Genomic DNA, 25,724 nt, shown 5'->3' with positions numbered 1-25,724 from the left:
TGTTGTAATTGCGCTTGGTCTTTGCTCAGAAGCTGCTTCTTTGTTATTCTACACGTGACTCCACATTCACATTGTGTGACGACGGCACTGGATGCTTGATACAGAGGAGGAGCAGAGAGCCTGGCTGCTCTCACCTCCGCCCGATCTGGGGCTCAGGCATGGCCCAGGGGAGCCCAGAGTACATGGGCCACGCACTGAGATTCCCACTACTCCCTGGGCTCATAGTGGCTTCAAAGGGGCAGCTGAGGTGGGGAGTGGGAGGCAAGGGCTGCAGAGTAGGAGGCACGTGGGCCGGCTCGGCCATGGAGGAGCCACACGTGCTTTGCCAGCCCCCATACGTCCTCCCTCCCTGCACCTTCCCCTTCAGACCATCCGAGCCATCCTGGGAGGCTCAGCCTCCACCACCCATGTGGGCACCTTCTGCATTACCTACAATAGCCAGCCTGAGAGGAGCAGCAAGCCCTCTGCAGGCCCTCGGGACACGTAATAATGGCAGTCATCTTTACCGCCTCTTCACGTCATTGCCTGCGGCAGCTCTGTGCTATTTTAGACTCTATTGATCCTGGTGCCAATAAATGGTTCATATTCTTCAACTTCCTTAACTTAGAGGCTATCGTCTCAGTCAAATTGATGTCTTCTGTCTGGCTGACATAGCTTGGGATTCTAGTAGCGTGTCTTTCAATGATTAAGGATTACGTTCTTGTTTTGCTTTTGTTGTGAAGCAGAATCAGCGTCACTGAGACACGTTCATGCAGGAGGCCTCGTCTCCATCACACCACAAATACTTTAAGGTGCCAACTTTCTGTTCTCTAGTGGAGTCCAGATCCAACAGGAATGGCTGGGTCTGGGGGAGGCAGGGCAGGCTGAAAGTATTGCTTTCCAAATATCTCTGAGCTGATGAGAGCAAAGAAATGAGGACAAGAGCTGAGGGAGGACCCAGCACAGTAGCCCATTGGCAGAAAACAAGAAAGAGTTCTTGGTTTTATCAGAATGCAGTTAAGCAAATAACTCATTCATCTATTGCTGAGAGAAGAGGGTATAGCAATGGCCTTACAGGGGATACACTGTGACTGCACTTCCTAACGGGACATGTTCTCCTCCTCCCAGCCCTCACCCACACTGTTCCCTCTCTCTCTACTTTTCCATTGTGATTCCTGGCTAACTCTTAGCCATCATCTCTTCTTGGGACTTGGGACAGTCCTCCTGACCTCCCCACCTGGTAATCTGTCATTAGCACCCATTTTCACATACGCATACTCTGCACTAGACACTTGAAGTCAGGAGTTCAAGACCAGCCTTGCCAACATGGTGAAACCCCATCTCTACTACAAATACAAAAATTAGCCAAGTGTGGTGGCGCACGCCTGTAGTCCCAGCTACTACGGAGGCTGAGGCAGGAGAATCACTGGAACCTGGGAGGCGGAGGTTGCGGAGGTTGCAGTGAGCTGAGATCGTGCCACTACACTGTAGCCTGGGTGACAGAGCAAGACTCCATCTCAAAAACAACAACAACAAATGGAAGGATGAGTGGCATGTGTATTAAAGTGCTGAAGAGTGGCTCCTATCATGTTTCAACAAAACTTCATGTTACTATGCTTATATAAGAGTCCTAGAGTGGCCAGGCACGGTGGCTCATGCCTGTAATCCCAGCACTTTGGGAGGCTGAGGTGGGCAGATCATGAGGTCAGGAGTTCGAGACCAGCCTGACCAACATGGTGAAACCCCGTCTCTAATAAAAATACAAAAATTAGTTGGATGTGGTGGCGGGTGCCTGTAGTCGCAGCTACTCGAGAGGCTGAGGCAGGAGAATTGCTTGAACCCAGGAGGTGGAGGTTGCAGTGAGCCAAGATCATGCCACTGCCAGCCTGGGCTACAGAGCAAGACTCTGGGGGGTGGGGCGGGGGGGGAAGAAGTCCTAGAAAAACTTGCATTTTGTAATTTAAAGCAATGTGTTAGTTATGATAACTTTTCTGATTTCACCCTGAAAATGCTTTCCCTCAATTTTGATAAGGCAAAAAAGTAGGGATTTTTTTTTTCAAAACTTCTCCAAGCTTGTCAGTTCGACAAGATCCTTTCAGCTCTGAGGCATTCAATGAAACAGAAATGAAATTGTGAACACATATCTTTACAGCAGGACATTGGGATGAGGATAAGTGCTCTCCCTCTGAACTTCTGCATGGATATTTGCAAGCCACGTTATTTTCGTGAGCAATCCTCCAAGAGTGCAGAGCACCCGAGCACCACAAACTGCGGGAAATGCAGAGAGAGCTTCCTTCCTCTTTGGGACGCCAGCCCCAGTTCTGTGTACAAGTGCACACACACCTGCTTCATAACATAATTAGCATTCTGAGAAGCCCAAACCTAGTCTGACAAGCAGCAATAACCATGTTGGTGTTCAGAAATGTTTTTAGGCCACGACTGTTTACTGCACTTCAGAAATTATCATCGTCACTGGTTTATATGTAGGAAAATAAAGACTAGCGGAAAAAGTTGAGTCAAATAGAAAGATGAGATGTGAACAGATGTGTCCAAAATACTGATTTTCCATGCTCTTCCTGCCTCTGTGGGTTCTGCTGAAGATTCAGTGATGCACAGAGAGTTCTGAAGAATTGGACATGCTTATTTGTATTAGTAGTGATCCTTCAAAAGAAAATCTAGAAGTAAATAAGTGTTTCATGCATTATATTTATTATTCTACGTGTGCAAGAATATCTGTTTTCTGAGTATTATCTCAATTCAAATTAACAAAGGAAACTTGGGAACTTGGATTTTAAACTTTCAACTCAAACCTACCTCTGTCCACGTCTTTTGGGAAGGCCCCACCCGAGGGCTCAGGGCCATTTGGTTTGCCCTCATCTGTGCCTCTCCCCGCAGGTCCACTGTGCATGGGGCCTGTCTGGGTTTGCCACATACACACACATACATTCACACACATACATTCATATGCATACACTCATACACAGATACACACACACATACACACACATACACTCACACACATACACATCACATACACTTATACTCACACATATAAACATACACATATACACACACAAACATAAACATACAGACACTCACACACATATACACACACTCATATACAAATACACTTACACATAAGCATACACACACACATAACATTCACACACTCACACACATACACTCACCTACACTTACACATGCATACATTCATACACATACACATACTCTTATGCACACACTCACATATACACATGCATACACACATCCTCACATATACAATACATACACTCACACATAGGTGCTCACAGATACACATACACTCACGTGTATGCACACACTCACACCCATATGTTTGGGGTGGGCAACACCCTTGAGACACTTAGGGCCTGAGAGAATGCAGGGACACAGCCCACCCCTTTGAGGGGCTGCCAAAGGTCAGTTTGCCCCTCATAGCCCTGAAATCTTCACCAGGGAGTTTGCAAATGAAAGATTTTCAGTGCAGTGATAAAGAAGAGTGGCTGCTTATAAACCCCCATGTGATGCTGTTTGAAACTCTGGGGCCCGCCAGTGTGCTCTGTTGCCAGTCACTTCTGTTTCAGCGTCACCCTCCACTCCAGCCTTGGGAAGGACGGTGCCTGTGGTCTTGCCAAGACGTTTGGCCTGTGCTCTGCGTGTCTGTTCCCCGGCACAGCACTGTGGGGGGCCTCCCCTGCCTGGCCAGAGAGGCTGGGAACAGGACCGGCTATTTAATTTGTGGGACCCAGTGCAAAATGGAAATGGGTCAGAAATCACTGAGGACTTCAGGCTGGCAAGGCCAGCAGGACACTAAGTGCTGCATGGGGCAGGAGGGACTCCCAGGCTACCTTCTCTGCTTTCCTCCTGCTCCGGTGAAACAGATCCGACTAAAGCAGAAGTGGAAAGAGAATGCATCCCTCTCCTCCCAATCTAATATTAATTAGCACTACTCAGCTGAGACAGGGAAGATTCAGAGCTGTAAATCACATCAAATGGAAGTGTTTTCAGCTGCTCTGATGGTGACCTTGCGGGCTCCCTACAGGGAAGGGAGGTCTGTCTGGGTTGATGGGAAGTGGGGGCTTCAGGGAGGCGGGGGAGTACTGAATCCTGCTGGGTGTGGGGAGGAGGCCACCAGCAGCCTCCCCTTGGGTCTTCCTGGAGGAAGGAGAGCGTGGGAGGCCGGGGAAGGAGAGTAGCGCTGGGTGGGCAGGGAGCCCGCAGCCAGCTCTGTGGCTGCCTCCCAGACACAGGCAGTTGCCAGCACCTTGCCTCCCGCCATGGAAGAGCTTGTGCCCATGGAGCTGAGTGGGCCAGCCACAGCCTCTCCCCTCCCTGTCCGTGATGCGGTCAACCCAGGCGTGGCAAGCCCTGCTGGGCCAGGCCAGGTAAGCACGCTGGAGGGGCCACAGACAAAAGGGACATCCGTCCTACAGACTTTAAAAGGTAACTCCGAACCATCAGGCCTGCCAAGGCTTCCCACAGCCACCTGGCCTCAGCTGCTTCCCACAGATATGAGGTGTGGCCCTTTCAGGGAGAAGCTTTTGGAAGAGGTAGCACCGTCACAGTCAAGGGGGGCCCAACTGGGTGGAAGAATGGGAAGTCCCGGAGGCTGGACCATCTGCCAGCCGAGGCAGTGACTCTGCTTCTCCTAAAGGTGGTGACCAGTAGGGAGGACGGCCACCTTCTTCCTGCAGTGGGCACTGTCTGTGCTCTGGAGGCAGCCGTGATGACAAGTATAGACAGTCAAAGCCACACCACCAAGGGTGAAGGCCATTCCAAGAGGCGAGCAGCTCAGAGAGGAGACTGAGTCTAGGGGAGGACGGCTAGGAAAGGGGGCCAAACTTGTATATAATGATGTCTTCCATGTCTGGCTCCCTGGACAGATAAAGGCCCAATAGAGCAGGGACCCTATCTGTCTGGCACCGTCCTTAGGGCCTATAAGATTGCCACATAGTAGCAGCTCCACAGCTCTTTGTTGAATAAATGAATGAACTCTAACAAGATTAAGGGAATCGGTGTCTAGTGCAGAGTCTGCGTGTGTGTGTGTGTGAAAAGGGGTGCTAATGACGGCATTTGTTCTTTGGAAGAAGGCCAGAACTTAAAGAGGGAGAGACCCAGCCAAGGCTTTCTTCCTGGGCTCCCAGAAGGAATTAAACATTAATTAAACATTAAACATTCTCTCCCCACCTCAGCAAGATGTTGCTAGGAGATCGTCTAGACCAGTGCTTCTCAAACTTTAATGTGCACACAGACCACCTGCAGATCTGGTTGAAAAGCAGATCCCAGACAGCAGGTCTGGGCGGGGCTGAGATTCTGCATTTCTAATGAGCTCCCAGCTGATGCTAATGCTGCTGGTCCAGGGGCCCCACTTTGAGCAACAAAGTGGCAATGGTGAGGATTAAGCCATGGTAGTGCCTGGCTGGGGTCTGAGCTCAGTAGTCATAAGCTGATGTGATTACAGCTGTGTCATCATTCTAGATGGGAATTGAGGAAGGAAGGGCCAAAGGCAGAGGAAGAGAGAGCAGGTCGGGGAAGAGAAGCTGTTAATTCAGGCAGGAGTGGCAGACCTTTTCCGTAAAGCGCCAGATTTGAGATATTCTAGACTTACCTGGTCATGCGGTCTCTTATATCATGAAATGCCTACAGGCACTAGGTAACCAACAGGTGACGCTTGACTCCAAAAGAGTGTGTTCACAGAACCTGCTGGGTGGCGACTGGCTTCACAACCCCTGAACTGGATCACTAGCCAATTAACTGGTTAGTTCCACAAGTTAAGCAGCAGCCTTGTCTGCCTCAGGTGGGAAGAGACATTTCCACGCTGCTTTGGTTTGAATGTTTTCCCCACAGTTTATGTGTTAAAAACTTAATCCCTTAATCCCCAGTGAACAGGTTTGAAAGGTGGGGAGGTGATGAGGTCGTGAGGCTCTGCCCTCATGAATGACTTAATGTCATCATCGCGGGAGTGGGTTCGTTATCTCGAGAGTGGGCTGGTTATAACAGTGAATTGGCCCTGCTTGCACTCTCTTATCACCATGTGATGCCCTCTGCCATATTATGACATGGAAAGAAGGCTCTCACCGGATGCAGCCAGTCGCTCTTGGACTTCCCAGAACCAGAACCCCAAATAAACTTCAGTTCATTAGCCAGTCCGTGGTATTCTGTTCTAGCAGCACAAAGCAGACTAAGACAGGTGCTCCCTCTCCCCATCACTGTCACAAATATGGGAGCTCAGTGTGCACGAGGCTGGAGCCCCACGTCAGTCAGGTCCTTGGTCTCATACCCCAGCAGCATCGCCAGGCACTGATGGAGATTGGGGATCCCCAAAGTAAAACAAACAGGAGATCACGACTGGGAGCCGTCAGCCCCCCAGCGCCCAGTGGCCCACCTCCTGCCTGTATCTGCAGTCTGAGAAGTGGGATCCAAACCACAGGCTGCCCTGTGCTCCCCTCCCCCAGACCCCACTCACCCTCTCAGAGAATTGGTAACAATAATGAAACACATCTAAGGCCACAGACTTTTAGTTCTGCTTTGTGTATCTATTTTTCTTTTCTCTCTGCTTGGGTTTACCTGGGAACGTTTTAATTGCGCCTTTCGATAAGTGCTCCTGGTTGACACTAAGGTGCGGCAGGCCCAGCCCTTCTCAGTTATTCAGGGAAGCCCTCCGAGGCTCAGCTATAATTAGAAGTCAATTAAATTAGAAACCATTCATATGGTTCTTGGAAGGCCTCCAGCCCTGCTGAGAGCCTCTGGCCCTATCCACAGACTCAGTGGAAACCTATCTCTGCTAACCCCACCATCCTGAAGCCAAGTCCAGGGCTGCTGGGAGGGGGAACAGGCTCCTATCAGTTCCCCTTCAGGCCTTTGCTTGCACCCAACCCTCCCCCACCTGACGGGCTGCAGGTCGCCCTTGCCTCCCCGCCACCCCGATCTCCCGTCGCTGCCTGCCCCAGCTTGCTCTGTTGCTAGAAGGAAAACACCCAGCGAGTTCACCACTGGGGTGGCTGGCTCCTCAATCTTGCCTCAGTCCATTTAGTGTTTTCCAAACGGTAAATGCAACACTAAAGTGCAGGCAGTGTGTGGGAAAAGGCAGTTTTTGAACCTCATCAAGAGGGTCTGGAAACAGAACTCTTCCTTCCCCAAAGCCACCTGGAGGTCTCCACCAAGTGAGACACCTCCAAGGTGACTGGGCCAACAGCCGAGACCCAAGGAAAGACCCAGGACCACTGCTGTGCTTTGCCAGTGACCCCAGTCAGGTCTGTCCTCTGGGATCTCCCCTGGGACCCCCTTCTCCCACCTATTCTTAGAGCAGCCAGGGACACACGCTTTTTCCTTTATCACAGAATTCATACTCTCTCTTCTAGACCACTCAGACAATACAGACCTGCATAAAATAAAAAGTGAATGTTCCCCAGAATGCTCCCTCAGTCCTTGGTCACCCCCACCCGATTTCAGTTACTGCCAAAAAAATCTTTGCTGGAAGTTCAGCAGGCATCGCTCCAGACCTGCTTTCATGCATTTAGAAACTTTACAAATACACCCGGAGGCATTCTTCTCTATCATTTCTTTCTCACCCAACAACAGGTGTTACAGCCCTGCTTGGTGTTCCAGGAAACTGAAGTTCCTTTGGATTTTTTGTGGGTGTTTATTTGTTGCAATGATAAACAAGCGTACCATCTTAAGGCCCTGCCAGGATTCTGCCCACCCTCTTCCTACGGGAGCGAGGGCATGTGCTGTTGTACTCGGGAGGCAGGACAGGCGTGCTCCCCAGGGATCTCTGGAAGGCCTGCAGACTGGAAGCTCCCTAGCAGCCAGTTAACTGATTAGTTCCACAAGTTAAGCAGCAGCCTTGTCTGCCTCGGATGGGAAGAGACATTTCCATGCTGCTATGGTTTGAATGTTTTCCCCACGGTTTATGTGTTAAAAACACATATGTACTTGGCATTGGGTGCATCTCCTAAAGGACCATTCTCTTTCCAGAAATCTCAGTGAAGAAGCCCTTAAGTCCTGGGGGATTTGGAAAAGAAGATTGTCCATGTCAGTCCCCACTGACAGGGCCCTTGGTCTTTTGCTCTTCTCCACCGTTCCCTGGCTGCTGACTTACACAGCTCTCACCTCCTTCTCCAACTTAATTCTTAATTTCTTTCTTTTTTTTTTTTTTTTTTTTTTTTGAGACAGAGTCTCACTCTGTCGCCCAGGCTGGAGTGCAGTGGCACAATCTCGGCTCACTGCAAGCTCCGCCTCCCGGGTTCATGCCATTCTCCTGCCTCAGCCTCCCGAGTAGCTGGGACTACAGGTGCCCACCACCATGCCCGGGTAATTTTTTTGTATTTTTAGTAGAGACGAGGTTTCACCTTGTTAGCCAGGATGGTCTGGATCTCCTGACCTCGTGATCCGCCCGTCTCAGCCTCCCAAAGTGCTGGGATTACAGGTGTGAGCCACCGCGCTCAGCCTCTCCAACTTAATTTATTTCCAATAATCTTTCGCTAATTTCTACCTAATGCCTTTAGGCTGTTGCAGGACTTTTCCAAAAGAAAGAAAGAAAAGGAGGAAGGGAGGGAAGGTTCCTGTGCATCATGGCATATGTTCGTCACGGTGTTTTTGTGTGTGGTATTGGGAATTAGTTGGTTTTCATGACCAATGGTAGCTTGCTAAGGACGAGAGAATTCTGAGGGTGAAAGGTCTTAGGGAGTTTGGGTTCCATGGCCCAGCTGGTCTTCTGGGCTGTGTCAGTGGTTGATTCTGGAAGGTTCCTCACACAACCCAGCATCTAGAAGAGTACTTGCTGTTTTGTTGTGGCAAGAGGACAGTGAACCAGAGTGCAGCCACTGGGGAATTTAGGCGATCACTAGAGCACATTATCTCTCTTTGTAGAGCCAGGCTAATTAATACCCAGACTACCAAGTAAAATTGCTTTGAGTCAGAAACACAGGTCTCCATTCAGAAAGTGAAAAAACAAGCAAAAAAAAAGAAAAAAAAACCCACCTCCTCCTTCAAGGGAATGCATTCGTGTAATATTAATAGTTGGTGAAAAGTATCTGAACACCTGAACAGCTGCAGCCATGCTCAATCCCTTCAATCCCTTAAGTAGCTGTGTGACCTGGGGCAAATCACTTAACCTCTCTGGGCTCCCACTATCTCAACTGTAAAGTTAGGTTATTGGACTTGTCCACTTTGATGGACAACCTGTTCTTAACAGAGAGAGGGAAGAACACTAAGCTGGGGCTGGGAGAGCATCCAGAGGGGCAAAGACCAGAATCTAATTCCTGGCAGTCTCTCCAGGGGTCCTCCTAAGTCCTGGAGCCCAGAGGCCAGGACTGGCCTGGAGGACTCCAGACTTAAAGCTCATGTAAGGCTAGGTTTCTCCAAACCCTCTGAGCACGAGAAACACAATCACTAACCTCGGGTTTAACCTTGGGCCCTCCGTGTGCTCCTAGCCTCCTCTCAGGCTCCCTCCCAGGCATGGCTGCGAGGCTGGGAAGGCCCCAGAGTCAGCCCAAGTGGCATGGGTACAGCTTCAGCTTCATGTCTGCTTTTCTTTTAGGATGTATAGTTTCCCCTCTGTTTGCTGGAAGGCACCTTATATCCAGTGGGGTTAAATAAAGGTAGCCAGACCCCCGGCTGGGGTGCTACCGCCAGTGCCCAGCTAATGACGCATGTCTTTCAGGTGAGCCCTTGGGAGAGGATGGCCCATGTGGGGGACTGCACGCAGACGCCCTGGCTCCCCGTCCTGGTGGTAAGTGGTCTGAGCCCCTTACCCCCACAGCACCCTCATCCTCATGATGGTTGGACTGTTTCTTGGCCTCTTCAGCTGTAAAATGGGAATGCTGATCATAGTCCCTCCTCCACAGGGTTCTTCTGAGGGTGAAATGAAACCAGGCCTGCAAAGCACAGAACTCTGCCCCAGGCTGAAGTTACATTGATTTCGTTGGTAGCTCCCTTCATAGGGTCTCATGGATATAAACGTTCTTGATTGCTTGTTTGTGGTGTGATACACACAGCCCTGTGTCTATGTGATGAGCTCATGCTTGGGGGCCGCGCAGCTAAGAAAGACTTGGAAGACTCAGACCCCTACCCCCATCCTCCTGGACACGCCGGTGTTCTGAGAAGCCACTGTATTAGAGGCTCAGTGGGGGACAGGGGCGCCTCCTCCATGACCTTGGCAAGTGCGTTGATGAGGAGAACTCAGAGCAGGCCTTGATGGTGGGATGGGGCTTGGCCAGCAGGGGTGAGGCAGGGTGGTTCTAGTGGGGGCTGGCCGTGCCCAGGTGATCAACCAGGAGCCACTGGAGACTTAGCAGCAGTGAGCACTCACAAGCGGGCACCTTCCCAGACCGAGCCCCCAGCAGAGCCCCCACCGCAGGGCACCCCCTTCCTATGTCAACCTTGGGGTCTTGCAGGAGTCACATGTGTTTCTAAGGAGGTACGGAGGCCACAACACCCCCCTTTGTTGGCAGGTGTCTCTGATGTGCTCAGCCCGAGCGGAATACTCAAACTGCGGTGAGAACGAGTACTACAACCAGACTACGGGGCTGTGCCAGGAGTGCCCCCCGTGTGGGCCGGGAGAGGAGCCCTACCTGGTAAGGACCCAGCCCTCCTGGAGCCTGGTGCGCTCTCAGGGGAGGCCTCCTGCTTGTGGCATTGTTGCCCTGAGCCTGCCTTGCTGTGTGAGGGGATGCCAGGGTATATCAAACCAGCCGGTCACGCTCCCTGGACGTTGAGATTGATGGCAAGAGCTGCCGTGAGCCCAGGAATGGCACTCACCAGCTAAGCATTCATAAACAGATTTTTCAGGAGTTCTGAAATGTTTTTAAAGGATCACTTTCCCACTCTACCCTGATTAAATGAGCGTCAGATCATCTGATTGGAAGCAGGATTGAAATATTCTCCAGTACTAGTACATTTTTTCCTGAGTGCTGCATCTCCCTCCGCCTCTGGGCAAGCTAAGCCTGAGTGTTCTGTTCAGCACTAAGGGAAACCTCCGGGGTTTCAGTGTCCGGTTCTTGTAGCAAGCTGAGGAAAGTCAGATGCCAAGTGCTACCTGCACTGCCTGGGCATTCCAGCAGCTCGCTGAATTCATCTCGGGGAGGCTCAGAAAAGGGGCAGCATCTGGAGCCTGAGAGTGGCGAGGAGAGGGGCAAGCCCAGAGCATGAGCTGGTTCCTGGGGGGTTTTGCAGTTAGGACAACTCAGGAAACCAAGGCCCGGCAAGAGTAGCTTCTGGAGACAGCTGGCACGTCACTGCCCAAGGACTGTGGGCCGAGTCCGTATGGTTTGGCTGCTGCACTCACCTGTGTCCCCTGTCCTCTTTCCCTGGACAGTCCTGTGGCTACGGCACCAAAGACGAGGACTACGGCTGCGTCCCCTGCCCGGCGGAGAAGTTTTCCAAAGGAGGCTACCAGATATGCAGGCGTCACAAAGACTGTGAGGGCTTCTTCCGGGCCACCGTGCTGACACCAGGGGACATGGAGAATGACGCTGAGTGTGGCCCTTGCCTCCCTGGGTAAGCACAGGCCCTCCTGGCAAACCCTGGCATGCTTTCTGCAGAAAACCCCGAGGGGCTACGGGCAAGGACCTTGGGAACAGGGGTCATGGATACTGCAGGCCTCGGTGCAGCCGCACACCTGGCCTTGGTCCCATCCCACAAGGAGCAGCATCCAGGACGGAGAGTCCTGGCCCCTCCGGTGGACAGGCAGCCCATCAGGCTCTGCCTCTGTGTCTCCTAAGTGGCCATTAACCATCATAATATCTTCTGACCACCAAAAGGAAACAAATTGCTTGAATACTTACAGTGCAGTAGCGCATGTGAAACACTTTGGGAAAAAGAAAACTAAAATTTCATGCAAAAGCAGCATTTTTAGTATCCTGGGAACACTCTGGGGAAGCTACTAATAAAAATATTTGAGTCATATGATACCTATAATCCCTCCAAAATGATTATGCATCAGAAGTCTTCAAAAAGCTGAAAATGCAATTAGCCTGAAAGAGAGAAAGATAAAATCTTCCTTTTTCCAGGCATGACACCTCAGCAAATTCTGCCAGGGACCAGGAAAATACAGACTCTCAATCCCCAGAAAATCCTGAGCCATGATCATTGCTGCTTCCTCCCCCTAGTGGCCACAACACATCATGCTTTGCAAGGGCTACAAATAGAGACTAAAGATAAAAGCAGTGGTGGTGTCCCTGGTACAGCTGGTACAGGTGGGAGAGGTGATGGCAGTGATGAGGCTGGTGGGGACAAGGGAGGTGATGGCAGTGATGAGGCCAGTGGGGACGGGGGAGGTGACCACAGCTTAGTGCATAAGGCACACTCAGAGTGTCCTAGGAGTTGCAGAAGGACCTCTCACCTCATGGCTGGGGAGGTAGTGTCAGCAGAGGTCTTGGGAGATTTGTGGAGGTGATGCCTGGATGAGTTAGGCTAAGAAGTAGGACTAGGACAGAGGCCTGCAAGTGGAGATGCCGACGCCAGAGTTCAGAGGGCTGAGCAGCTGGGCAGTGCCTGGGGCTCTGATTGGGTCCCTGTGGCCAGAGCAAGAGTTGTACACCTGGGGGTGTGGACAAGCTGGGCAGGAGGGCAGGGAGCAGATGGAACCAGGCTCTGGAAACCACCGCTGAAGACTTGAGCCTTCCGCTCGAAGCTGATGCAGGTCAACACGCAGACTGCTGAGCCAGGGATGCTGTGGGCAGGGAGAGGGCTGGAGCAGAGGCACCGGGGGTGGAGGAGAGGAAGAATCTGAGAGCCCCCTGAAAGACAGCACTGACCAGGGGTGCAGATGGCACTCAGAAGGGGAAAGAGATTCAGAAGAGGATACTCAGGTGTCTCCATGACTGGCCATGTGGAAATAGTGCCATTTGTCAGCTGCAGAAGACAGGAGCAAGAGGGTGCTTGGTGGGGAGGTGGAGGGAGGATAGAGGTTGTGTGTGTGGAATTTGAGGGGACTATGGGACATCCAGACCTAGATAGCTAACCCAGAGATGGCCTGAACCTCCAGGCAGAGATCCAGAGCTGGGAAGTCACTATGCACTCAGGGTGCTGGGGGCCGCTGTAGTAGAAGGGTTCCCCATGGGGCAAATTCCTACTGCAGGGAGAGGGTGGGTGCACCACGGAACCTCGCCGACCTATGCTGCTGGCTCTGGCCTGGCTACGGTTCAGACCTGAGAAGGTGTCCATCAGTACCCGAAGGCCAGGGCTGACTCTATGGCCTGAAGACCACGTGCTTGGTTCTGATACATTTACCAGAAAGTGTGTAATTACTAAAGAAGTTGGACACTGGAAGGGTGGTGAGCTCCCTGCCTCTAGAAGAATTCAGGCGAATGTGGACAGCCATCTGCAGAATTAGTGGGCAGGCTGCTCTCTGGGCTTTTAAACATTCTTTCCAGTGCTGGAATCTTGATGCCTCCCGCCCTACTCCATGGGACAGTGACCTGCTCAGTCCACACCACTCTCAGCACCCAGGACATAGCAAGGCCCAGCACACCTGCTGGGCAGGCAAGGGACCCTGTGCAGAGACACCCTCAGCACGTGCCTCAGAGTGCCTTCGCACTGCTCCGCAGGGGTGCAGACGATGGGGACAGTTTCCAGGTTGGCTCCATGATGTGCTGTGTCTGCTCAAAGCCTCACTGCCAGTCCCAACGCCCACCAAAATTGAAGGCCCCCGCCTCACCTCCGAATCCCAGCCCCTCTCAGGGGCTCATGCTGCCCCCTCTACTGCAGACAAGGCTTCCCCAGGGTAGGACCCTGGAGGCCCCACTTCCTCTTACGAGGCTGTCACGCTGTGTCACAGAGGAGGATCACAGGAGTCTTGGCAGGCCGGTGTGACTAGCTCCATGAAAGGCTGCGTTCATTCCTGAATCCAAGTGGCTGTCAGGCTGTGGATGCGGATTGCCTTGTCCCAGTCTCTCCTGGGCCCAGGCCCCTGCCTGCGGTTTGGCAGGTGCTTCTCCTGATGCTCCGCCCTCCCCACAGTGTGGCCAGGACACTTGCTGAACAATGAGCAGCACCCGAGGCTTTCCTGTTGGGAGAGGTTGTGTGGGAGGACCTGGGAACCAAAACAGGAGGAAAGGGGGAGAGAGAGGTTACGCTTCCTCACCTCTCCAGGCCTCACCCCGGAGGAGCTCCACCACCCCGCGATTCTGGATGGCGGGGGCAGGGGGCAGGACACAGCGACTCTGCACTGGTTCTGCACACCAACACGGTTGGAGGAAAATGAACATCTGGGAATCTGCGGCGTCCCTTACAGGCATGAGAGTCCTGAAGAAAGGAACTCTCTGGGAAAATGTACACCTATTGACTGAGAGAAAGTCAGTCCTTAAACAACAGATCCCAGGGGACCCATTTAAACTGACTCTTGTCCTGGGCTATACACCTGAATCAACCTATGTAGAACAGGGGTTGGGGGGCTAGGGAGAAAGTCAAATATGGATCAAAAAGTAGCAAATTAGACCTTTCCAGAAAGACGAAGGGACCGGACACTCTGTAGCTGGGCCAGAGATCCCTAAATGAACACCTGATTTCGGGTTGGTGACAAGCCCAGGCAGAAAAAGACAGCCACATGTTCTTTGTTGCTGTGCAGCCCAGGATGAGAGACCCAGGTGTAAGCCAGGCGGTGAGGAGTTTAGCCTAGTCCTACAGAGAGAACCTAACATTTAGAAATGTTGCATGCAGCAATACGTGCTAGAAAACGGTGGCTTCTCCTTGTCAGGAGGCACTGAACACTCACTGGGTGAGGAAGGACAGTTTCATAACAGCCTCTTGGAGCCAATGTTTTTTTAAAAGTTTATCACCGGTCAGGCTCGGTGGTTCACGCCTGTAATCCCAATACTTTGGGATGCCAAGGCAGGTGGATCACTTGAGGTCAGAAGTTTGAGACCAGCCTGGCCAACAGGTGAAACCCCATCTCTATTAAAATATAAAAATTAGCCAGGCGTCGTGGTGCATGCCTGTAATCCCAGCTACTTGGGAGGCTGAGGCAGGAGAATTGTTTGCACCTGGGAGGCGGAAGTTGCGGTGAGCCAAGATTGCTTCTCTGTACTCCAGCATGGGCAACAGAAGGAGACTGTTTCAGGGGGAAAAAAAAAAGTGTATCACCTTTCAATATTCCTTAACTGAGTGACTTGATAGGTTGCATAGCTTGACCCATACACATGACCCCCACAGATGAGGGTGGCCAGCCTGTGACAGAAGGTGCCTCGTGCCCAGGACAAGTCAAAGACACAGTCGTGGGACAGAGCCACCACCCTCCCCATGCTCAAAATGTAGTGGCCCCATTGGGCACCCATCATAAAGCCGGGTGTTGTGCATCCGCCGTGTAGCCTTGGAGCTTTACCCATGACAGAGACCAAGCCCGGCACCTGGGGTGTGAACTAGGATGGGCAGAGAGGCCTTTTGGGGCCTCTGTCCACCTCAGCATCAAAGTTCCACGGAGAAGAACTTGGTGTCATTCATTCATTCAGCCAATGTTTACAGACAATCATCCTTCCTTAGTACCTAGCACAAGGTCCAAGGAATAGAGACGTGAACAAGGCTTGCCCTGGAGGGCCTCCCAGCCCAGGAGCGGGACCAATAGACGTGAACAAGGCTTGCCCTGGAGGGCCTCCCAGCCCAGGAGCGGGACCAATCCCCCTAGGTGGGAGAGAGAATGCGTGGAGGTAGAGTGAGAAAAGGTGGAGGAGGCAAGGGCGAGGAAGTGAGGCACAGAGGAGGTGAGATGGGGAGCAGGTGGCCACCTAGGAGCCTGAGATGTTTCTCAGAAGTGTCAGCGTGGGCCAGGGACGTTAGAAAGCTGCAGGTTGACCTGGTCTGGCCCACATGCCCGTGAACTCACAAGGCCACGTGGCAGACACCTGCCTTGGCCTGCCTCATAGAAAGAAGTGGCTTCTGGAGGGCAGAAGGTAGATTTGCGAGAGGCTTAGCTGTAAAACTGGCTGTCGTGGCTTCTCTGGGAGGTGTTTTGAGATTGGTTAATTAATGTTTACAAGATACACAGGGATCTGAGGATAAAGGGCTTTGAGGGAGGGCAGGCAATTATGGTCCTAACATTACTGGTAACAGTCCAGGCTCAGGAAGGCAGGAGCCCACAGACCCCCGTGCCAGGCTGCTGCTTAGCACTACCGTCAGCAGGGGCCTCCATGGGGCCTGGCTAATAAAAAAGAGATTAGAAAGCAGCCATGGAAATATTCCTTCTCATCCCAGTTCTTGAATCGCAATAGGGAAAGTGTTGGCACCGCTCACGTTATTTAATCGACTACTCACAGTGTGACAAATGGCTCCATGCTCTCCGCTGAGCATTTGTTTATGGAAAATGGGCCCAGGCTAGGATAGGAGCTAGAGCCTGCAGAGGGAAGGCGCCCGAGCTGGGAGCCCCAAGGAGAGGGTGGTGCCAGCAGGGGCTGTGCCTGGGAGCGGGACGGCTGCAGGGAGCACAGCCACAGGGCAGACCCCTGAGAGCAGGACCTGAGCAGTCATATAGCCACGGGGCTGGCACTGTGACATCGGGGAGCTGAAAGACATAATGGAACATCACTGGGAGCTGAAGGACTTCAAACAGAGCTACTGTGAATGATTTGTCCCTTGCACTGTGTGTGCAGCCCCAGCGTAAAGGCTTGCACTTCCAAGGGTGTCTTCTGTCAAGTGCTTTCTGAGAAGGAGGCACTTACAACCTGGTTGTGTTGCCAGCTATCATGAGGGCCACCTGCATTGACCTCTCTGGACAGCACAACCGTCTGTCTCCTGCAGCTGCACTCTGGTGGCATTCAGCAGCAGTAAAGATGGCTTGGGAGTTCCAAGGGTCCCAGAGGCACACTGATGCCTATAATCCCACTAGGCTGCAGGCTCTGGGGAGGGTGCTCACAGAGGGCATGTTCCTCCTCCAGGAAGGTCTGGCCTTGGTTGGTGTGACCCCTGGGGGGCTAAGCAGGCCCTACATGTGGGGGCACAGGGATATTTCTGGTGGATGATGTGATGGCACACACACTAAACACAGCCACCAGAGAGAGGAACCAGAAAGGGGCTGAGATCAAAAGAAAGGCCCACGTTGGCAGCTCAATATTGTTAAAAGAATGCTCCATTTCAAGACAGGCTGAAACCCCAAGGAAACTGAGTGGACAGAGCAGGTGACTGAGTGGGCGTGGCCTCATGCCCGACTTGATTGTGGGCCTGCAGACTGGCCACCGTGCTCTCTGCACCAGTCCCTGCCTGTGTGCTGTCCAGCTCACCTGTCTCTGTTTTGTCTTGTCTCTCCCCCGTAGCTACTACATGCTGGAGAACAGACCGAGGAACATCTATGGCATGGTCTGCTACTCCTGCCTCCTGGCACCCCCCAACACCAAGGAATGTGAGTGTCTTTGTCCTTCCACCAGCACGGTATTTGTTCAGCACGGATCCCTTTCACTACAGAGGGTGTAGGAAAGAGCCGGTCCTGGCACCTGGACAAGGTGAATCACAGTAACAGCACTAGTGAAAGTGCTCCTGTGGCCTGTCCAGGCAGGTCTATGAAGGGAGGGATGTTTGCCACATCTGAGCCTTGAGTCAGAGGCTGAGGTTCTAGTGCAGGTTGGCCACCAGCTACCTGACAAGTCACTTAACCTCCATGAGCCTCGGTTTTCTCATCGGTAATATGGGGGTACTAACATCTGACCTTCCCATCTCTCACGGTCATTGTGAAAACAAAGGAGATCACAGAGGCAAAGTACTACTATTTTGCAAAGTACTACAAAGTGCTAGGTGACAGTGAGGCCAAGGAAAATATAAATGTGATCACAATTAATGAAACAGATTCCACAAAGCACATGTAAACAGTCTCAGGAGTTTATAATCCTGCCTTGGGGTGTTTCTTTCCTGTTATCCTTTCTGGCTTTCATGGGCATCTGTTTATGACGAAGGGCCAGGTACCTCTGCCTCAGAGGAATGTGCTGTGTAGACTCTTAGATGTGTGGTCTGGGGAGAGACGGAGGCAGGTAGGACAAGCAGCTGGGAGGAAGCTGGGTGTCTGGTGCCGGGCTGCAGGAGCACTTGCCACCCTCTGGCTCCTTCAAGGGTGGAGGAGGAGCTGACCCTGGGACCCTGCCTCTCTTTGCTCTCCATAAGGCGCCACTACCCCCATGTCTCATAATAATGTTGTCCAGGAGAAGAAGGAGAGCCTGCGTCTTATCACGCTGGAAAGAAGGGGAGGAGCAGGAATGGGGCGCAGCATCTCCTCTCTCCTTTTGGTCAAGCCAGGAGGAGGGTTCTGTGCTGTGGGCTGTGCTGCAGGAGGAGCAATGCATGAGCCCTGCACCAATGTGTTTGCTCGTCTTCAAAGCCATTTTCCTGGCCAGCCATATGCTAATTAATTCACAAATTAGAGGAGGCCGCAGCTCGGCTGCCAGCCTGACTCATGGTGAAGCCAGCTGCCATGGCCCGCATGTCCTCTGTGGGGATCTAGGCTGATTCAAGGCCAGATCATTCTGGGTTGAAGAACCAGTCTGGAAAGATGTCAGACACTCCCCACCTATTCACAAAAGCATCTTTGCCTGTGGAACCTGGGAGAGGAGCAGTCCTCCTCAGGGGCTTTTCTGTTCAAGAGTTCTCACATGGCACAGCCTTCAATGTTCAATGTCTGGCAGCCAGAGCAGACTTGAGTCACGGCAGGGGCGCCTCTCTAAGTCCAGCAATGAGGTCTATCACATGTGGAAAGCAAGCAAAGTCCCCTGAGTCCTCAAGATTTTAAAGATGAGCGCACCCCACTCCCACCCCCAGCCCTTGCCTGCTTTACTGAAAGCCGGCTCCGAGGAAAGCCTCGGGGTAGGGCCTTAGAATCCGGCCCTGAAGGAGGTCAGCAGAGAAATAGACAGTCCTGCTGTGTTCCCATTAGAGGCCCCTTGGGCAAGGCCCCAGACCTCGGCTTGCCCATCTGGGAAATGGGGAGATGCGGCCAGATAGGCCTTGGGGTGGATGGAGCCCTCTGGGTTAGGGCCTCGGTGTGAATGCCAAACAGAGTGATGCCCTCCACCCCTGGGCCTGCCCTGGTCTCAATCCAGAGATCTCTTTACTCAGAGCACCTGCCCAGCAGTCAGCAAAAACGTCGGAGCTAGAAAGCCCCATGGAGTCACTAAGACCCACACACACAGGACTGCCATCAGCAGCCCCACTCTGGGCAGCAAACATTTCATCAGGAGCCCGAAGTTGCCAACTGGCTGCCCAGGTCCAGCAGGCCCTGTCTTTGTCAAACCCACAGTTGTGGTCAAGAGCACCTCTTCCTCCCCTCTGTTTTCTTGATTTACCTGGGCCCTCGCCAAACAAAGTGCACATCCTTGGTACTCTGCAGCAACAAATGGTGGATTACGCAAACCACCGTCAGACTTGCCAAGGGCCCCTGGCTGAGGATGACACCCACCTAGGAGAGCTACAGCAGACAATGGGTCGCAGCTGCAGGGGAGACACCAGCCAGGAGTGAGCCCAGGTCAGTGTCAGGGTCTCCCCAGCCTAGGAGTGCCCACAGCTCTGCCCCACACCTCCCAGGCTCTAACCCTATGCCTAGGCACCTGTGCAATGCAATTACCTCCTATCCTTAAAGAGACGGCAGCTTCTCTGCACCTCTGTGAAGCAGAGGGTTTCAGGGGGGTGATTCGCAGGGGAGCACCCTGGGGGTTTCTTATGACTCGAATTGCTTGGCCCACCCCCGATTCATCAGGTCTGGGTGAGCCAGAGAATGTACATTTTTAACAAGTTTGGGAACCACTACGGTAGGTTATGAGCCTGCTCTGGAACTTCACTGCCTGAGTTAGACGAGTTATCTCACCTCCCAGAGCCTCATGTCCTCTCCTGCCCCGGGCAGCTCCCAGTGGTGCCCACTGCCCAGGCTCCTGTGTGGCTCAGGCGCAATTTTGCCCACCAAATCCTCCCAGAAGCACATCATGAGTGCCCCAGGGCGTTAATTAATGTGGTGCAGCCCCTCAAATAACCCTGAGGAGAAATGAAAAAGCAACATATATTTTCCTTTAAAATGGAATAAAATCATTCCAGTTTCTGGGGTTGCCAAGTAATGAGAGGGAAACCAAAGAGGACAGGCGTCAGATTGCAGATCAGTCCTGGCTGTGGGTTGGTTGTCACCTTGGATTGGAACATACTCGCCCCCAGCTCTGAGCCTGTACTCAGTGACTGCAATACTGTGGAGCCCTGTAGCCCGGTGAAAAGAGATGAAAAGGCCTTCGGTTATTTTTCAGTTAACTTAAAGAGCAAGATGTACTTGGGGTGACCAGAGCTTTCTGGTTTTCTGTTTTCCCTGCACCATCCTGCATAAAGGGATCTGTGATTTAATGACAGTGGGGGCAGGGAGGTCAACCCGTTGCCCTGCCGTAACAGAGAGGAAGATAGGGTCCAGCATCAGGCTTGGATTTCATTACAAGTTATCACCCCTGGGAAAGTGTCCTCATCTGCAAAATGGGGACATGATTGTTGGGAGGAAAGATGTGATGACGTGGGCGATGCATGTGGAGTGCTTACTCCAGTGCCAGGCGCCAGGCACTGACCAGAGATGAAGCATCCCAGCCCAGCAGGCGGCATGGCTCCACGGCACGTGAGCTGGCCTGCACTTCCCTCACTGACTGGCGGTGTGGACAGCACACAGAAGGGGAAAGAGATTCAGATGAGGACTCAGGTGTCTCTGTGACTGGCCATGTGGACATGGTGCCACTTGCTCAGCTGCAGAAGGCAGAGGCAAGAGGGTGCTTGGTGGGGAGGTAGAGGGAGGATGAAGGCTGTGTGTGTGGAATTTGAGGGGACTGTGGGACATCCAGACCAAGATAGCTAACCCAGAGATGGCCTGAAGCTCCAGGCGGAGAGATCCAGGGCTGGGAAGTCAGCTACGCACTCAGGGTGCCGGGAGCCACTGGGCAGAAGGGCTCCCCATGAGGCAGCTTCGTAGTGCGGGGAGAGGGCAGGTGCCCCACGGAGCCTCGCTGACCTACACTGCCGGCTCTGGCCCGGCTACAGTTCAAACCCGAGAAGGCACCCCAGAGCCTGGGACACTGGGCAGCAGAAATCCTTCCCTAGAAAAGCAGTCAGGGCCAGGCGCAGTGGCTCACACCTGAAATCTCAGCACTCTGGGAGGCCTAAGCAGGCAGATCATCTAAGGTTGGGAGTTCAAGATCAGCCTGGCCAACATGGAGAAAACCCGTCTCTACTAAAAATACAAAATTAGCTGGGCGTGGTGGTGCCTGCCTGTAATCCCAGCTACTCGGGAGGCTGAGGCAGGAGAATCACTGGAACCTGGGAGATGGAGGTTGCGGTGAACTGAGATTGCGCCATTGCACTCCAGCCTGGGCAACAAGAGCGAAACTCCGCCTCTAAATAAATAAATAAATAAAAAGCGGTCAGAGGGTTAATGAAAGAACGCAATAGCCTGGCAGCTGTTTTCTTATCATCAGTGACGAAGTCCCCTCAGGCAAATCCAGAGCAGGCTGGCCTTTTGGAGAAATCTCTGCTACTCTGCGTACTCCCGTGGTTTCCGTCTCTTGTGCCCGGATGCTCTTCCGTGACACTAAACAGCAAGCACTGCCCCTCAGGTGTGAAGCGGGCCTCCCAGCCTCCCAGACACCGGCGCTCAGTTGCTCCTGGCTCAGAGCCTCTCAGACCTGACTGCACACACATCTCCAGGGACCCGCTGAGCAATGGATTCTGACACAGCGGGTCCCAGTGGGCCCGAGACTCAGCATTTCTAGCAGGTTCCCAGGGGACCCCACTTTGAGCAGCTAGAGAGTCTCTGCGAGTCTGCCCACAGTTCAGAATCTGCCACTGGGGGTACACAGCCAGTGCCACAGTCTGGGACCCCTTGTTGACAGCTCTAAGAATCAACAAACAGATCATTCCTAAAAATGCAATCTTTTACCCTCTGCAGAGAATCCCAGCCAGCCTCTAATGCATACTGGTGAGATTCTAAATTGTGTGGATTAACAGACCTCAAAGACCCCCATATGAGCTATTGTGGCTGTAAATGGAGGCGTAGCTCCCTCCAGCCATGTGCTTCTGGCTCACTGAGCATTCCTGGGGAAGGGGAACACAGTGCCCGGCAGGACCCTCCCCGGAGTCACCACTGCCTCGAACTCCACGCGAGGTAGGCAGAACCAGTCCCCGCTCATTTTCACTTTAAAATAGGCCTTGTGAGGACATTTTTGCCTGTTTTGTGGAACTGCAGTTCATACCAGCTTTTATCAAACACCCCAGCCTTGCTTATTCGAAACTCAGGTGCACACGGAAGTGTACAAGGGGAGATGGACCCGCAGTTGGCCACCCAACAGAAACCCACCTGGAGCACCTTGCACTTAACAAGCATCCCAAGAGGCAGATGAACCGAAACACACAGCACACAGTGGACCGGGGTGAAACCTCCAGACACTGTATATTTGGTTAGTGCAGAGTTAATCCTCAGTAGACAGGCATAGACCCTGGCCCAGGAGAACTTGGGTGCAGGTGCAGGGGGTGCCGGTGCCTATCCTGGGGGCTGCACAGGGCTGCATCTCCACCAGGGCTCGCGCCCCACCCTGGTTTGTCTGTGGACCCCCAGCTGGTGACAGTGGAAGGAGTGGACATGGTGGGAAGAGGATCAGCCCAGACCGCTCTCTTTTCCTTTTAATATTCTGGGTTTTGCCCAAACCTCTTTTAGACATCACGTGCATTCAACATGATGCTGGTGCGCTAATAATATAAAAATGCATACTTGTATGATTCTGGGATGGATTTTTTTCAAGCATTTAGGGGTAATGCAGAGTAGGTGCTTGTTTTCCATGGCAATTTTTCTGACTCGCCTGGAAAACAGCAGACCCACCCAGGGCTGATTATCCAACCTCTGCTTCAGGCTCTGCAGGTGCCTTCATTAGCTGCCCTCAAACCACACCCATTGCTGCCCAAGGTTGGCACTTTGGGACCGGATCTGCTCACCTGTTCTTGTGGGTTATATGTGTAGTGACAGTGGCAGCAAGCAGAGGTGAGACACTTGTGTGGGGGGCTGACCTCACCCTCATGAGGTCAGCCCTGCAGCCAGGGATGGCAAGGCCCACCGCCTCCCGTTTGACCCCCCTCTAGTCTTAGCATACCTTCTGTCTTGCCCGGGGGCAGAGGCACTGAATTGTGGACAAAAAAGACCAAGTAAGCTAGATGCTTGTTCTTCTTTCAATTGATACATAATAATTGCACATGTTTATGGGGTACAGAGTGAAATTTCCATACATGTATACAAAGTGTCATGATCTGATCAGGGTAATTATGATATCCATGACCTCAAACGTTTATCACTTCTTTGTGTTGGGAACACTGCAAATCCTCTCTTGTAGCTGTGAGAAATATACAATGCATTATTGTCCGCTGTAGTCACCCTGCAGCGTGCCAGAGCTCAGAACAACTCCTCCTGCCCGGCTGGACTTTTGTATTTGTTAACCAGCCCCTCCTTCCCCACCTCTGTTCTGCTCCACTTCTATGAGATCCACTCCTTTGGCTTCCACACGAGCCGCGCGTTGCTTTTATGAAACAGCTGTGCTTGGGGCAGATCCATTTCCTTTTTTGCCACAAGCACCTTCCCTCGCCTGTCGGCCACGGAGCTGTGACTCTGAAAATTCTGGCACACCCTTGCCTTTATCTGTGGTTTGAGGGTCTTTGCTCCTCTCCCTTCTGCTGAAAAGGCAGCTCCATTCCTTATTGCCGAGCTCCGAGCGCAGGGAAGAGGCCCATTGTCAGGAAGTGAGCTGCTGCCCTTTGGTGGCCTGGGTGGCCTGTGGGCAAGTCTGAATCCCCATGTCCTCCTGCTCCTTGGGCAATGATCTAGTGACTGTGATTCTCCTGACCAGTCTTGTGAGAAGTGTCTCCCTGCAGATGCTCTAGTGGCCCTGGGAACTTTGGAACGTGAGGGGGCTTGTGGGGTCTGGCTGATTGGGTGCTGGCTTTCAGCTTCAGTCCTGACACGAGAGGCTGAGCTCTGGAGAAATGTCAGGGTCCACCATCCCACCCATCTTGCCCCCACCTCCTCGGCTGCGCACACGTGCTCAGAGCAAGCATTTCTCTCACCAACTCAGGGATCCCTGCACACCAGGGAGCACCCAGCCTACACCTGCAGCCTGGCACAGTTGGGGACCGTTTAGTTGGTGCCAGCTGGAGGTGTTTGGAGGGAACCATCCGGTGATCAGGATAGAGGCACAGCTGGCCGAGGGCAGGTGGGCGCCTGTGGGTGCAGGAAGATGTCACATCTGCAGGCATTGTTTGGGGACGTCATTGTGTAACCAGCCCTGCAGGGCTGCAGAGGCATCCCACAAGTCTGTGTGCTCTCTAGGCTGCGTTTATTGCCCCACTCTAGACCACAGGCCTGGGCATATTTGTGTCCCCATCCCCAACCCTGTCACCTGAAGCAGCCTGCGAGCCCCGACAGGAAGGGACAAGAAGAGGCGAAGATGACAAACATTCACAGACAGCCCACGGCTGTTCTTTTGCTCTGACAGTGTATCTTAAGCTCCCTTGAGCGCCTTACTGAACAGATAGATCAGCTTCTTTTCAATCTCTTGTTTGCTCTTATAAAGGAAATTAGGTCATGCTGGAAACTATGCCATGATGCCCCTATGCTCACTCACCTGATGAAGTGTGGGAGGCTACCCCCCAGCAAACAGAAATGGGCACACAATCTGAAGCCTCCTTATCACACTGGAGACTTCCAGAGCAACTTCAGTAAGGTCTGTGAGGGGGAACGCTCTGTTGTTTGACATGGGCTTGTGGCTTTCAGCTAGGGGCACGCACTTCTCCACCAGCTCTTTTTTTATTTTTATTTATTTTTTATTTTTTTTTTGAGATGGAGTTTCGCTCTTGTTGCCCAGCATGGAGTGCAATGGCGTGGTCTCGACTCACTGCAACCTCCGCCTCCCGGGTTCCAGCGATTCTCTTGCCTCAGCCTCCCCAGTAGCTGGGATTACAGGCACCTGCCACCAGGCCCAGCTAATTTTTGTACTTTTAGTAGAGTTGGGGTTTCACCATGTTGGCCAGGGTGGTCTCAAACTCCTCTTAGGTGATCCTCCCGCCTCGGCCTCCCAAAGTGCTGGGATTATAGGCATGAGCCACCGTGCCTGGGCAGCTCTTTCCCTAATAAGAACACTGGTTCTGAGGCCAAGTAAGAGGCTAAATTAAGAAAGCAAAGATTTATCATAAGTTTGAGGCCCACGAGGAAAAAAGCCTCCATTCATCATCCAGAAACACAAGGAAACATCATTTGCCCCTCAGTGGACAGGTGATGTTTCTTACATACCCTATGACATAGCTGCCCTGGTCCCTCCCAAGCCCAATGTTTCATTGGCCAAGCTTCCAATTTGCTTTACAAGGTGTGAGGACAGAGAAGCATCCAGCCCATTCTCCTGTGGCCCTGCTCCATTTAGAGCAGACACGAGTGGATAGCTCAGCTGGTCACTAGCTCCTGGGCTGCCCCCACTCACAGAACAAGAGTGTGCGTTTCTCCTGAGAACTTCCTACTAAAGAAAACAGCCAGCCCAGGCATGGATTACAGGCTCACACCTGTAATCCCAGCACTTTGGGAGGCCAAGGCAGGTGGATCACTTGAGGTCAGGAGTTCAAGACCAGCCTGGCCAACGTGCATTTTTCTCTATAAAAAATACAAAAAGTAGGTGTGGTGGCACACACCTGTACTCCCAGCATCTCAGGAGGCTGAGGTGGGAGGATCACTTGAGCCCAGGAGGCAGAGGTTGCAGTGAGCCAAGATCGTGCCA

The 25,724-nt window shown here is 52.5% G+C and overlaps 2 protein-coding genes across 3 annotated transcripts in view, besides 1 other annotated feature; one reads left to right on the top strand and one right to left on the bottom strand.

The window, feature by feature from the left end:
• The window catches only part of RANBP2 (RAN binding protein 2), a 1,122,820-nt gene that overhangs the window by 901,608 nt on the left and 195,488 nt on the right, over positions 1–25,724 (bottom strand). The window lies entirely within an intron of this gene.
• EDAR (ectodysplasin A receptor) overlaps positions 1–25,724 on the top strand; it is a 94,750-nt gene that overhangs the window by 48,527 nt on the left and 20,499 nt on the right. For both annotated transcript variants that reach the window (NM_022336.4, XM_006712204.2), the window contains exons 2-5: positions 9,662–9,730; positions 10,452–10,574; positions 11,315–11,496; positions 17,241–17,326. In NM_022336.4, the coding sequence (NP_071731.1) occupies positions 9,680–9,730; positions 10,452–10,574; positions 11,315–11,496; positions 17,241–17,326 (442 nt within the window). In that variant the 5' untranslated portion in view covers positions 9,662–9,679. The remainder of the gene's footprint in view (positions 1–9,661; positions 9,731–10,451; positions 10,575–11,314; positions 11,497–17,240; positions 17,327–25,724) is intronic.
• Positions 10,958–11,457: an enhancer, noted in NCBI's record as "H3K4me1 hESC enhancer chr2:109545693-109546192 (GRCh37/hg19 assembly coordinates)". NCBI's record gives its function as "activates a minimal SCP1, AML or CMV promoter by ChIP-STARR-seq in naive H9 embryonic stem cells {active_cell/tissue: H9 hESC(naive)}" and the evidence as "EXISTENCE:reporter gene assay evidence [ECO:0000049][PMID:30033119]".

The sequence above is a fragment of the Homo sapiens genome, chromosome 2 (genome assembly GCF_000001405.40).
Source record: "Homo sapiens chromosome 2, GRCh38.p14 Primary Assembly".
Lineage (NCBI taxonomy): Eukaryota > Metazoa > Chordata > Mammalia > Primates > Hominidae > Homo > Homo sapiens.
Note: the sequence above shows the minus strand (reverse complement) of the source record. Positions and strands in the feature narration are given on the sequence as shown.